This window comes from Homo sapiens, chromosome 22, assembly GCF_000001405.40.
Source record: "Homo sapiens chromosome 22, GRCh38.p14 Primary Assembly".
NCBI classification, from domain to species: domain Eukaryota; kingdom Metazoa; phylum Chordata; class Mammalia; order Primates; family Hominidae; genus Homo; species Homo sapiens.
Genome location: NC_000022.11, coordinates 30,473,547 through 30,487,690, shown reverse-complemented (window position 1 = coordinate 30,487,690; position 14,144 = coordinate 30,473,547). Strand labels below are relative to the sequence as shown.

At 49.4% G+C, this 14,144-nt stretch overlaps 1 long non-coding RNA gene and 1 pseudogene across 2 annotated transcripts; one reads left to right on the top strand and one right to left on the bottom strand.

The window, feature by feature from the left end:
- Nucleotides 1–1,306: 1,306 nt before the first annotated feature.
- On the bottom strand, nt 1,307–4,617 carry LOC107985579 (uncharacterized). Its single transcript, XR_001755490.2, has 3 exons — nt 4,436–4,617; nt 3,852–3,913; nt 1,307–1,944 (listed from the first exon to the last, which is right to left on the bottom strand). It is a non-coding gene; the product is annotated as an uncharacterized LOC107985579 (long non-coding RNA).
- A 1,317-nt stretch (nt 4,618–5,934) lies between these two features.
- Nucleotides 5,935–6,401, top strand: SDC4P (syndecan 4 pseudogene; annotated as a pseudogene). Its single transcript, NR_001580.1, has one exon. The product of NR_001580.1 is annotated as a syndecan 4 pseudogene (transcript).

The following is a 14,144-nucleotide window of genomic DNA, read 5'->3' as shown; positions in this document are numbered from 1 at the left end:
AGATGGAGACCATCCTGGCTAACACGGTGAAACCCTGTCTCTACTAAAAATACAAAAAATTAGCTGGGCGTGATGGCGGGCACCTGTAGTCCCAGCTACTCGAGGGGCTGAGGCAGGAGAATGACGTGAATCTGGAGGCGGAGCTTGCAGTGAGGCGAGATCACGCCACTGCACTCCAGCCTGGGCGACAGAGCGAGATTCCGTCTCAAAAAAAAAAAGAAAAAAAAGTAGAGACAGGGGTCTTGCTATGTTGCCCAGGCTGGTCTTGAACTTCTAGGCTCAAGCCATCCTCCCTGCCTCAGCTTCCCAAAGTGCTGAGGTCACAGGTGTGAGCCACTGAGCCCGGCCTGATTTTGGGTGTTTATTGAGTATCTGCCCAGCACCAGGCATGGCAGACTCTGGGGACACCGAGGACCCTGGGCTGACCCAACTGTATTAACCGGAGGTTTGCGCTCATGGAGGGAGGGAGGTGGAAGTGACACCAGTGATCAGTTATCAAGTGGGTGCATTGTCACCATGCATGCTTGGTTGGGGGCAGGAGCCAAACTCTGGGGGAGCACCCAGCCAAGAAACCTGACAAGGGGTCACGTATGCTTTGTCCAAGGAGGAGGTGACCCTGAAGGGAGAGCTGTCGGATGTGCGGGATGATGGCAGGCGAGCCTTCCAGACAGGAATGGGGGGTGGGCGGTCAGTGGGGCAGGGGTGTCAGAGGCCAAAGGAAAGCTGGAAGGGCTCTCCCAGCCTGGGGCAACGCTGGTAACAACTCACTGGTATTTCCTATTTCTTCATGGATAACTGTGTACACATTAAATAGTTATTAATAATTAATAAAACCATTTTATAATGCCGGTTACAAAACAGCCGTGTAGTTTGTCAGGAAAGAATGGCAAAATCTTGGCAGGAGGCCACAGATCAAAACTCTTGCTCAAAATGAGGCAATTGGAAATACCCAGGCCTCACCTGTCCAGATAATGGAGGTGGGACCTGCTCTCCCTAGCCCATCTCCTCCCTGGAAGTCCCCACAGTCTTTGGGGAGAAGCAGGTGAGGAGGGCAGCAGGTCAAGGACCCATGGGCGTGTTTTCCTTTTTTTTTTTTTTTTTTTTTGAGATAGGGTCTTACTCTGTTTCTCAGGCTGGAGTGCAGTGGCCCAGTCATAGATCACTGCAGCCTTGAACTCCGGCAAAAACCATCCTTTTGCCTCAGCATCCTGAGTAGCTGGGACCACAGGTGTGCACCACTGCACCTGGCTAATTTTTTTTTTTTGGAAATGGGGTCTCACTATGTTGCCCAGACTGGTCTCGAACTCCTGGCCTGAAGTGGTCCTCCCACCTTGGCCTCCCAAAGTGTTGGAATTACAGGCGTGAGCCACCACCCCAGGCCCCAGGGTTGCGGGTGTTTCAATGGCTGTTGGAGAGGCTCACCTGCCCCAGCCCACCTCACTGCCCAAGGAGCCCAAGCTAGGGAGGACACCACTGTAAGAAAGTCTAGGCAGGTGCTCAGAGTAGGTCTTCACCAGAGCTTCATGGCACAGCACTCCACAGTTTGCACAGCCGCTTCACATTAAGTCCTGAAGCAGACAGAGATTATAGCCCCATTTTACAGGCCAGGAAACCGAAGCTCAGCAGGGGGCAGTGCCTTGGCCAAAGCCTCTGTGTCCAGTGAACCAGTACCCAGGTCAGCTGCCGCTGGTGCCCCCAGCCTGCAGTAGGGGAGACGAGGGTTGATGGCGTGTGGGCCCCTGCAGGGAAGGCCAGTGTGGGGCAGGGGGCCACACAGTGGGACAAAGTGAGGTGCTGGGTTCCTGGGGTGGAGGGAAGGCCCAGGATTGGGAGAAAGCTGCTCAGACGTTTGTGCATCTCGGTGGGAAGTGATGGTGCCAGCTCCATGCCCAAATACCGACTGTGAGCCAGGCCCAAGCTGAGGCAGGAAGCACCATCCGCAGCCTACAGATGAGGAAAGTGAGGCTCAGGGCAGGAAGTGAATTATCACATCACACAACACAAAGCGGGAGAGGTAAGCCGTGAATCTGTGTCCATCTACCAGACCGCACACTTGGTGTGCGGGTAGGGAGGAGGCCCGGCCCAAACTGAGCGATGCTCAGGGGACTTCTGCTTTTAACCACCAGGGGGCAGTGTTGGGCCAGCCGCACCCCTGTCCACCAGGAGCGTGAACTGGGGTGGCCCTTAGCATGGGCTCATTGGAAGGTTACTTTCCAGGCCGGTTGAAGCCAAGTTCACCAGGCCCAGGCTGTTCGTGGGGCCACCTGGAGTGGCGGAAAAAGGCAGCCTGACCTCGTTTTAGATCCTGGGTCTGTCACTTGCAGGCTCCGTTTCTTTTTCTTTTTCTTTTTTTTTTGAGACAGGGTGTCACTCTGTTGCCCAGGCTGGAGTGCAGTGGTACAATCATCACTGTAGCCTCGACCTCCTGGGCTCGGGTGATCCTTCCACCTCACCTCCTGAGTAGCAGGGACTACAGGTGTGCACCACCATGTTTAGCTAATTTTTTATTTTTTGTAGAGATAGGGTTTTGTTATGAAGCCCAGGCTGGTCTTGAACTCCTGGACTCAAGCAATCCTCCCACTTTGGCCTCCCAGAGTGCTGGGGTTACAGGTGTGAGCCACCGTACCCTCTCTGTGCCCATTTCTACCCACTCCTGTCCAGATTCCGCAGGGCAGCCAGAATAAAATCTTTCTGAAATGCAAATCTGATCACATCATTCTCTGCATAAGCCCTTCTCTAGTGCCCCACGTACCCCTGGGTAAAATCAGCCTCAGTGGTAGCTTGCAAGGCCCTCTGCAACCTGGCCACTGCACCCCAGTTCCAGACACATCCCATGACTTAAATTCACCAATTCATCAAGCTCTTTCCTGCCCCTCTGCCTTTGCTCATGCTGTACCTTCAGCCTAGGACTCCCTCTCCAACCTTGTTAAATGCACGCTCAAGGGCACTGGAACCCTGTCTTGAAAGGCCTTCCCTAGGCCACACCGCCACCCAGGCCCTATCAGTTAGGGTCCCTTCCCCACACCCCAGCTGCACTTCCCAGAGGTTCCAAAAAAAAACCAGATACCATTTACTAAGCACCTGCATAAGCTTGTGGCTCTATCTATGCCACTTTGTTTAATCTTCATGGCAGCCTTATAAAATAAACATAGACCAGGTGCGGTGGCTCACACCAGTAATCCCAGCACTTTGGGAGGCCGAGGCGGGCGGATCATGAGGTCAGGAGATCGAGACCATCCTAGCCAACATGGTGAAACCCCGCCACTACTAAAAATACAAAAATTAGCTGGGCATAGTGGCACACACCTGTAATCCCAGCTACTCGGGAGGTTGAGGCAGGAGAATTGCTTGAACCGGGGAGGTGGAGGTTGCAGTGATCCGAGATCGCGCCACTGCACTCCAGCCTGGTGACAGAGTGAGACTCTGTCTTAAAATAAAATAAAATAAAATAATAAAATAAACATAATTATTCCTGTTTTACAGGAGAGGAAAGTAAGGCTCAGAAACAGACATTTGCTCAGTGGTGGCACCAGGGTTGGAACTCAGGATGTCTGACTCCAGAGACTCCATGTGCCTTCCTGGACCATTTACCACCAGAGCCATGTGCTTCCCTGGACCGTCCACACCCAGGTTGGGTCATGCCAAGAGCACCGCCAAAGGGCAGAGTCTGGCAGCATGACCCACTACTTCAGAGAGACCCAAGAAGAGGGTAGAGCAGGGTAGCCACAGAACAGGGGAGAAGCAACAGGAAAGAATGGGCTCGCCTAGCTGTGTCCTAGTCTTGGAGCTGAAAGCAGGCTGGGTGACTAGCCTCGTAATAGCGGTAAAGGCCTACACTGTTGATCACTTACCATGTGCTAGGCAGTAGGTGAGGTAGCTTATTGGTCTCTTCTACACTGGTCATCTCAGTACCCTGTAAGAAGGAGATGTTACCAGCTTCAATTTCCTTGTGAGACTCAAGATCACACAACACATTAGAGGTGAAGTTAAGATTCAAATCCAGATAGCCAGGCCCATGTTTCAGCAGCATCCATTTCTGAACTATTTGTGGATTATTTGCCCAGGGTTGGGAGAGGAATGACAACTGCTTGGGCTCTTTTGTTGGTGATCACCCTCAGACCCAGGTCCTCTCCCCAGTAGCCTTAGGCACTACAGGCTTTCCACAAATGCCAATGAAAACAGAGACCAGTTTGGCATGAAGAATTTGGGACACTTGATGCCCTTTGGGTAACCCCAGGCATTGTGGGAAGAGATGTGCCAGCTCCAACCCTAGACAACATACAAATTAAGGCCTCTTTCACTTTATAGAATCATTCACTGTCCTCCCCCATGTTCCTGTAACCATAGCAACCCATTCCTGTAATAAATAGCAAGGGTGTTGTATGAAAGAGGAAAGGGAAATCCTTATGAACTTGACCAGGATTTGTGTTCCCACCTCAGAGGTCTTTGGAGTCTTCTCCAGAGTGTCTTGACTTCTTGGTGGCCATTGGTATTGCGTAGTACAGACAGCAGCAGCAGCAGTATCATCAACATCGTCATCATGATCATACTTAATTTTAATTTCTGAGAGAAGAAGGGAGATGAAACTAAGCAATAAAGAATCTGTATCAAGGCCAGGCACAGTGGCTCATGCCTGTAATCCTAGCACTTTGGGAGGCCGAGGCAGGCAGATTGCTTGAGCTCAGGAGTTTGAGACCATCCTGGGCAACCTGGTGATACCATGCACCACCATGCCCAGCTAATTTATTTTTGTATTTTTAGTAGAGACGAGGTTTCACCATGTTGGTCCGGCTAGTCTCGAACTCTTGACCTCAAGTGATCAACCCACCTCGGCCTCCCAAAGTGCTGGGATTACAGGTGTGAGCCACCGTGCCTGGTCCAATAGATAGACATTTTTAAAGTTTGACTAGACATTTCTCCATAGACAATATACAAATGGCCAATAAGCACATGAAAAGATGCTCAATTGCATAGTTGTTGGAGAAATGCAATTCAAAACCACAATGAGATACCACTTGACAGCCACTACAATGGCTATGATAAAAAAAAAAAAAGCAAATGGAAAATAACAAAAGATGTGAACGATGTTGGCAAGGATGTGAAGAAATTGCGGCCCTCATACACTGCTAGTGGGAATGTAAAATAGTGTAGCCACATTGGAAAATAGAAAGGCAGTTCCTCAAAGGTTAAATATAGAATCACTATACAAGCCAGCAATTCCACTCCTAAGGTTATACCCAAAAGAAGTGAAAACCTATGTTCCCACAAAAACTGATACAAAACATAGTCATACCAACATTATTCATAATAGCCAAAAAAGCGGAAATAACCCAAATGTCCATCAACTGATGAACAGATAAACAAAACGTGGTCTATCCATAGAATAGAAGATTATTCAGCCATGTAAAGGAATGAAACACTGATCCATGCTACGGCATGGATGAACCTTGAAGACATTATGCTAAGTGAAAGAAGCCAGACACAAAAGACCACGTACTATATGATTCCATTCATATGAAATATCCAGAATATGGACATCTGTAGAGATAGAAAATAGATTCCTGGCTGTCAGGGGCTGGAACAGAGCAGGAAATAGGAAATGAATGCTGCTGAGTACAGAATTATTTGAGGGTGAGGTGATGCGAATGTTCTGCAATTAGATAGTGGTGATAGTTGCAAAACCTTGTGAATATATTAAGTACCACTGAATTGTACACTTTGGGAATGATTGCTCTGACTCACCGCAGGCTGTTCACCCTCTCTGGATGGCGGTACCACTGCCCCCGCCCTCCTGCTCCTGCTGCTGCTGCTGCTTTTTGCAGGCACCCCCACCACCCCTGAGTCAATCCAAGAAACTGAGGTCATCAACCCAGGACCGCCTAGGGGCCAAACTTCTCCAGATCCCTACTGGAAGACTCTGGATGTGGGTGTTGGGGGCAGGAACCTGATGACTCTGAGCTCTCTGGCTCTAGAGATATTGATGAGTCAAGGGACCCCAAGATCATCCCTGAAGTGATCCAACCCTTGGTGCTTCTAGATAACCACATCCCTGAGAGGGCAGGGCCTGGGAACCTGGTCCCACTGAAACCAAGGAACTGGAGGACAACGAGGTCATCCCCAGGAGGATCTCACTCTCTGCGGGGGACCAGGATGTGTCCAATAAGGCACCCATGTCCAACACTGCCCAGGGCAGCAACATCTTTGAGAGAATGGAGGTCGTGGCAGTCCTGATTGTGGACAGCATCGCGGGCATCCTCTCTGCTGTTTTCCTGATCCTGCTTCTGGTGAACCATATGAAGAAGGATGAAGGCAGAAACGACCTGAGCAGGAAGCCCATCTACAAAAAAGCCCCTAGCAAGGAGTTATTACGCTTCTTCTATGAGCACTGGTTTGGACTTTAGGGGATAGGGAAGTCGGAGGATTTTGCAGAGTGGCCATTAGGATGCGGGAGGACAACCTAATAGTGTCTTGTTAGTATCTCCAGTTCCGGTTATCTTTATATATATTTATTATTATTTTTAAGACACGGTCTTGCCGTGTTGCCCAGGCTGGAGTGCAGTGGAGTAATCTTGGCTAACTGCAACCTCCACCTCCCCGATTCAAACAATTCTCCTGCCTCAGCCTCCCGAGTAGCTAGGACCACAGGCATGCACCACCACACCTGGCTAATTTTTGTATTTTTAGTAGAGACGGGGTTTTGCCATGATGGCCAGGCTGGTCTTGAACTTCTGGCCTCAAGTGATCCTGGGCCTCCCAAAGCAACGTGATTACAGGCGTGAGCCACCACGCCCAGCCTTCTGGTTACCTTTAAGTGTCTGGAGAAACATCGTCTTCTACTGTTCTGCCTGGATCTTCTTGGTTGTTGTTGTTATTGTTGTTTTGTGTGTTTTTTATTTTTATTTTTATTGAGACAGGGTCTCACTCTGATATGCAGTGGCAGAATAAGGGCTCACTGCAGTCTCGACATGGAATCAAGAATCAAGCAATCCTCCTGCCTCAGCCCCTCAAGTAGCTGGGACTACAGGCATGCGCCACCACACCCAGCTATTTTATATATATATGTATATTTTGTAGAGATGGGGTTTCACCATGTTGGCCAGGCTGGTCTCAAACTCCTGGACTCAAGTAAACCGTCTGCCTCGGCCTCCCAAAGTGCTAGGATTACAGGCATGAGCCACTGGGCCTAGCTTGCCTGGCTCTTCTTGATTTCTTGGGCCTCAGTTGCCCCCGAAGAAAAATAGAATTAAACTTGGCCTTTCTGAAGGCAAGAGTAGAATTGGATTATTTCTTTAACTTCCAGTTTAGAATCCAGGTCCAGCTTCAAACCCATACTGAACATGCCTCATCCAGAGCCCCTTTGAAGTCAGGGAGGAAGGGGTCTTGGGAGTCCTGGCTGAGGATGTGCTCCCATCAGCCAGGACTCACAACACCACTATCTAACTGCCGAACATTTTTATCACTCTGCCCCCGACATAATCTGCTCTCACAGGCTCACACTCTGGCAGGAATTGGGAGAAGGAGCTAGAACCATCTGCACCTTGAGATGTGTCTGTAAATGAGTACTTAGGATCATGCCACAGGAGTCTCCATAGTATATGGTATACCTTGGCCCATTCTAGGCTCCTTCAAGTGCCTTTTGGAAATCAACCTTTTTATCTGGGGAGGGAGGGTGAGAAAAAGAGCCAGAAGTTCATGTTGAAGTGGATTTGTGGAATATTTGCAAATCTACTTTTATTTTATTTTTTTGAGACAGGGTCTCGCTCTGTTGCCGAGGCTGGAGTACAGTGGTGCAATCACAGCTCACTACAGCCTCGACCTGCAGGGCTCAAGTGATCCTCTCACCTCAACCTCCAGAGTAGCTGGGACTACAGGCACATGCCACTGCACCTGGCTAATTTTTATTTTATGTGTTTTTTGTAGAGACAGGGTGTCATTATGTTTCCCAGGCTGGTCTCGAACTCCTGAGCTCAAGCGATCCTTCTGCCTCAGCCTCCCAAAATGCTGTCCTGCTTGGATCTTCTTGGTTGTGAATATGGAGGATTTTATTATAGGCATGAGCCAACACGCCCATCCATAAATCTATATTCAGTGGATTTTTTGAATGGTTCATTCCTTTGTGCAGAGTGTCTCTGCCTGAGCAAGACTTTGAGAATCCAAGATGTTCTTCATTCTCTCGTACATTTCCACAGCACCTGCTAAGTTTGTATTTAATGTTTTTTTTTTAAATTTTGCTTTGTTTGTTTCTTGAAAATAAGATAAAATCAGAGGAGATACTCCTTTTTTTGAGACAGGGTCTCGCTCTGTTGCCCAGGCTGGAGTGCAGTGGTGTGATCATAGCTCACTGCAACCTTGACCTCCCAGGCTCAAGCTGAAACAAGATAGTCCCCCTGACCCCTTTGAGGGACTCAAGAAGGGGTTGGCTGGTTTACTTAGCCTGCAGCTCTCAACCCCTCATGGTGGGGGAGCACACAGGTGAGTGGGTGCAAGGGCTGGGATGAATGCTTCTGGGCACCAGAAGTAGAACTCTGTGCAGCTCCATAGCAGCATCTAGCAGGGGTACCTGTGACCTCAAGAGCCTCAGAGGACATATGTTACAGTGTGCCCTTTTAGCTTTGCCACCCAGGGATGGCTTAAATGTTTACCAGCTCAGTGGATGGTGAGGGTGACAGCCTTTTGCACCTGCCCTCTTGGTACCTGAGTTCTTGTCCAGCATCCAGGAAGATTCAGATCACACAAATGAATTGAAGGGTGGTGAATATGGAGGATTTTACTGAGCAGTGGAAGTGGCTCTCAGCAGGATGGGGAGCTGGAACAGGGATGGAGTGGAAAGGCAGTCTTCTCCCAGAGTTCAGCTGTCCCTGGCGGAACTCTTCTCTGAAGTCTCGCTGTCAAGCCATCCCTCTGAAGTCAAACTGCTTCTCTCCGACACCTGGCTGCTGCTTCTCTTTTCTCCTTCTCTGCTGCTCCACTCTGCCACTGTGCCACCCCTCTGCCAACAGAGCCTGGGGTTTTTATAGGTAAAAGATGGGGGCTGGGGGCAGGCCAGAAAGCAACATTCAAGCTGGAAAACAGAGACAAAGTGAGAACACGTTGTGCCGTGGTCCAAGGCTTGAGGGTGTGGGCCTCTCCAGGGAACTTGCCATTTTCTGCCTAGCATTTTCCTGCTTCCTGTCCACATCAACACAATCCTCCCACCTCAGCTTTCCAAGTAGCTGGAACTACAGGCACACATCACTACGACCAGCTAATTTTTTGTATTTTTTGTAGAGACGGGATTTTACCATGCCGCCCAGGCTGGTCTCAAACTCCTGGGCTTAAGCTATCCATATACCTCGATGTCCTAAAGTGCTGGGATTACAGGTGTGAGCCACCACGCCCGGACTTTTTTTTTTTTTCTGAGACAGAATCTCCATCTGTCGCCCAGGCTGGAGTGCAGTGGTGTGATGTCGGCTCACTGCAACCTCTGCCTCCCAGGTTCAAGTGACTCTCCCTCCTCAGCTTCCCGAGTAGCTGGGATTACAGGCGCGTGCCATCAGGCCCAGCTAATTTTTTGTATTTTTAGTAGAGACGGTATTTTTAGTATTTTTAGTTGGCCAGGATGGTCTCGAACTCCCGACTTCAGGTGATCCACCCGCCTCAGCCTCCCAAAGTGCTGGGATTACAGGATTACAGGGGTAAACCACCGCACCTGGCTGAGTGAGCGAATTTTTGTGTGGCTGGGTGCATTTTGACCTCTTTTCTTGCCCCATTCCTGCTGCCTTTTTTTTTTTTCTTTTTTTTGAGACAGAGTCTCGCTCTGTCACCCAGGCTGGAGTGCAGTGGTGTAATCTCAGCTCACCTACTGCGTTCAATCAATTCTCGTGCCTCGGCCTCCTGAGTAGCTGGGACTACAGGCACCCACCACCATGCCCGGCTAATTTTTGCACTTTTTGTAGAGATGGTGTGGCGGGAGGGGTCTCACCATGTTGGCCAGGCTGGTCTTGAACTCCTGACCTCAAATGATCCACCTGCCTTGGCCTCTCAAAGTGCTGAGATTACAGGCATGAGCCACCACACCCGGCCCCTGGTGCCTTTTCACGGGGCTGGAATAGCTGAGGTAGCCCATTCTACCCTCTTTCTGCCTTCTGCCTGGGACCCAGCTGGCGTTCTTTGGTTTGCTTTCTCTAAGCTCTAGGCCTGTGCTATCCAACACAGTAACCACGTGTGGCTGTTTAAATTTAAGTCAACTAAAATCACATAAAGTTAATTCATTCCTCATGTGCTGGAACTGAACTGGAGTCTGCTCACCTGGCACAGTAAGACCAGATATCCATTCTGAGATTTTTGCAGCAATAGAAAGGAAAGTGTTTATTTGCAGGGCACCCAGCAAAGAGGACCAGGCAGCTAAGGCTTAAACTCTGACCTCCCCGATGGTTTGCAGGTAAGGGTTTTTAAAGGCAGTGGTAAATTTCAGGAGAGCAGAAGTTATAGGCAAAATCGTTGCATGGAGGTTACACACTGGTCTTGGCCTGAAACAGTGGGATATCACGCAGCTTGGGGCTTACAGGTCATAGGTAGAGTCAACGTTTTCTGATTTGCAATTGGTTAAAGTAAAGAAGGTTTGTTTAAAAATTTGGGATCAGCAGAAAAGAAGGTTAGCTTGGACTGGTGGGTGTGACTCCCACTAAGCCCTTCAGGAAGAAATTTACAACAAAGAGTTCAGTCTTCTCCCGATACTTTTGGGGAGGGGTCCAGGTTTCTAAAAAACAACTCAGAAACATATGCTAAGATGTTGTATTTAGTTTCTGTAGAGGAACCAAACCTCTGACTCTGACTTCCTTGGCTATTGTTTTAGGCTACTATTACCTTCTTGGTTATCAAGTTGCTTATTTACTTCCCGGGGCTAGGTAGGGGCTTGGAATTTCCTTGGAAGGAACTCAAGGTTTTCCTTTATTTCCATGCTTGTGGGGAGCCCAGCAGGCCCCTAAGAGAGATCCCTGCTCCATCTAACTCAGTTGCATTAACCACACTTCAAGGGCTCACTCGGTCACCGTACGTGGCTCGTGGCCACCGTGCTGACCACACAGAGAGCGCATTTCCATCCTTCGCACAGCACCGTTCTAGAGAATGCAACTGGCTTCACAAGTCACAGCCTCAGCTGTGCAGGGATGACCCTTTCCCTGGGCAAGGGGAGGGGAGATGGGGAAGGGCTGATGAGGTTCCAGCTGGGGCCTGTTATCTGGGACCCTGCTTCTCCAGAGAGGAGAGGCCTGGTTGGGCTGGTGGTCCCGGTTACTTGGGCTGGTGGGTGTGACTCCCTCTAAGCCCTTCAGGAAGAAATTTACAACAAAGAGTTCAGTCTTCAGCGGATCCTTCTGGGGAGGGGCCCAGGTTTCTGAAAAACGACTTGGAAATATATGCTAAGATGTTGTCTTTAGTTTCCATAGAGGAACCAAACATCTGACTAACTTCCTTGGCTATTGTTTTAGGCTACTATTACCTGAGCCTGGCTCAGCCTGGGTGGACGGTGCCTCCTCCTGACCCCACTGGCTGGGGTAACAGGAATGACCCTCCCTTGCTGCACCCACTGGCTATTAGCTGCCATCACCACCCCAACCCAGGGTCCCCACTGGAGGGGTTCTCTTCTACCCCGGGTGACCTTTTCCGCAGGCGGTGTTGGAGTGAGCACCTCTCTGTAGCTGTCTCTCACACTCTTGTCTGTTACTGATTTTTTTTTTAATAAAAAGGTAAGAAAACTTGATACCTTCTATTTTTAAAAACAATGAATTTGTGATGTATGAATTATATCACACTTAAGTTTTTTTTATTTATTAAAGGAGATGAAACTGCCCAAAGAAAGATAGAAAGTGGACTGTCCCAGGTGCCACTGAGAGCGCCACTGGGGTCTGGAGACGTGTGCCCCAATCCCTTTCCATCTCCCTGCAACCCTTTTATTTTTTTAAAGGATAAGCTTTCACTCTGTTGCCCAGGCTGGAGTGCAGTGGCCCTATCAAAGCTCATTGCAGCCTCAAACTCCTGGGCCCAAGCGATCCTGCCTCTGCCTCCCAAGTAACTGGGACTACAGGTGTACGCCATCATGCCCAGCTAATTTTTAAATTTTTTGAAGAGACAGGGTCTCACCATGTTGCCAGGCTGATCTCAAACTCCTGGCCTCCAGCAATCTTCTCACATCAGCCTCCCAAAGCACTGGGATTATAGGTGTGAGCCTCGGCACCTGGCTTCCATCTCCCCTTTTCAGGCCACCCACTTCACATCTGTGTGGTCTAAATGCCCCCTACTCACCTCCTCCCAGTGATGCCTGCCCTATGTCGAGGCTCCTGTACCCCCGGGAAGGGCCCCTTTAGACCTACCCAACTGCTTCTGGCAAGATCCATCCTGGGAGGGAGGGTGATCAGGAATGTGCCAGGGATGGACTGAAAGGGGTGGCTGTTTCAGATTTCCTAGTAACCGGCTGACAGGAGAGGTTGGGGCGCAAGCAGCTCTATCTACCCACCTGCGGTTGTTTGTTTAAGTTGTGGTTGTTGCCATGGTCCCCTGAGAGCTTGGTAAATGAGGAGCCAAACACACATGGGACCTTACCTGTAGACAGTGTGCTCTGGGGTTTAGGGGGCAGGCTGGGGGTCTCTCCTTCCCCAAGGCCTTTGTTTCAAGGCAGGCAAAATTAACCCTTCTGGCCCCAAGACACCCTGCAGCCTGAATCCAGCTTGAATCCAGGCAGATCCAGGCTTCTACACAATGACGATTTAAAGCATTTATTGAGCACTTACTATATTCTGGACACAATATTAAGCCCTACAGGGGAAAGCAGGGTGGGCTGTGCAATCCAGAGTCAGATAGGTTTGGGTTCAAGTTCTGGCTCCTCATTTACTGGCTGTGTGACCTCAGAAAAGTTTCTTGATCTCTCTGAACTTCTATTTGTTTAGCTGTAAAATGGGAATACCCATACCTGCTTCTGAATGATTTGATAATGATATAAAGCTCCCAGCACAGAGGGTATGCTCACCAATGGGAGACTGTGAGCTCTATGCAAGCTGGGTCCTAATCTGTCTTGTTTGCTGTAATCTACCCCCTCCACATGCTTCTCACTTTCCCACCTCCATGCCTTTGCCCATGCCATCCCCTCCACTTGGGATGCCCTTTATTCTGCTCTCCATAAATCAAAATCCTTCCTTTCTTCAAGGCCTGGCTCAGATGCCAACTGCATCACATATAGGTGACTTTCATGCTTAGGCTCTCTCCCTAACTAAGGTGGAAGCTCCTAGAGCCAAGACTATGGGATAGCATAACAGCACAATGGCAGAGTGGTTAATTGCATGGGTTTACCCCTGGATAAGTTACTTCTCCATACCTCAGTTTGCTTATCTGCATAATGGGCGTAATAGTACCTACCCAACACCACAGGTATGTTCTGAGGTTTAAATGAGGTAATGCACTGCTTTTTTCTTTTTTGAGATGGAGTCTCACTCTGTCCCCCAAGCTGGAGTGCAGTGGCATGATCTCGGCTCACTGCAACCTCCGCCTCCCAGGTTCGGGCCATTCTCCTGCCTCAGCCTCCTGAGTAACTGGGATTACAGGCATCCGCCATCACGCCCGGCTAATTTTTGTATTTTTAGCAGACACGGTTTTGCCATGTTGGCTAGGCTGGTCTGGAACTCCTGACCTCAGGTGATCCACCTGCCTCGGCCTCCCAAAGTGCTGGGTTTACACGTGTGAGCCACCTCACCAGGCCAAAATGAGGTAATGCATGTAATGAGACCCCATCTCTACAAAAAATATAAGAAATTAGCAGGGCGTGGTGGAATGTGCCTGCAGTCCAGGCTACTCCGGGGGGTTGAGGTGGGGAGGATTGATTGAGCCTGGGGAGGTCGAGGCTGTAGTGAGCCGAGATCATGCCACTGCACTCCAGCCTGGGCAACAGAGTGAGACCCTGTCTCAAAAATAAAATAAAATAAAGTAGAATAAAATAAAAATGGGCCACCTGCACCATCCAATATGGTAACCACTAGCCAGATTGAACAATTTAAAGTAAAATGTATCAAAATCCAATTCAATTAAAACTTCAGTTCCTCAGTCACGCTAACCATCTTTCACATGTAACTAGTGGCTACCAGATATGTCTAACAGGACACCCCAGACAGAAGATG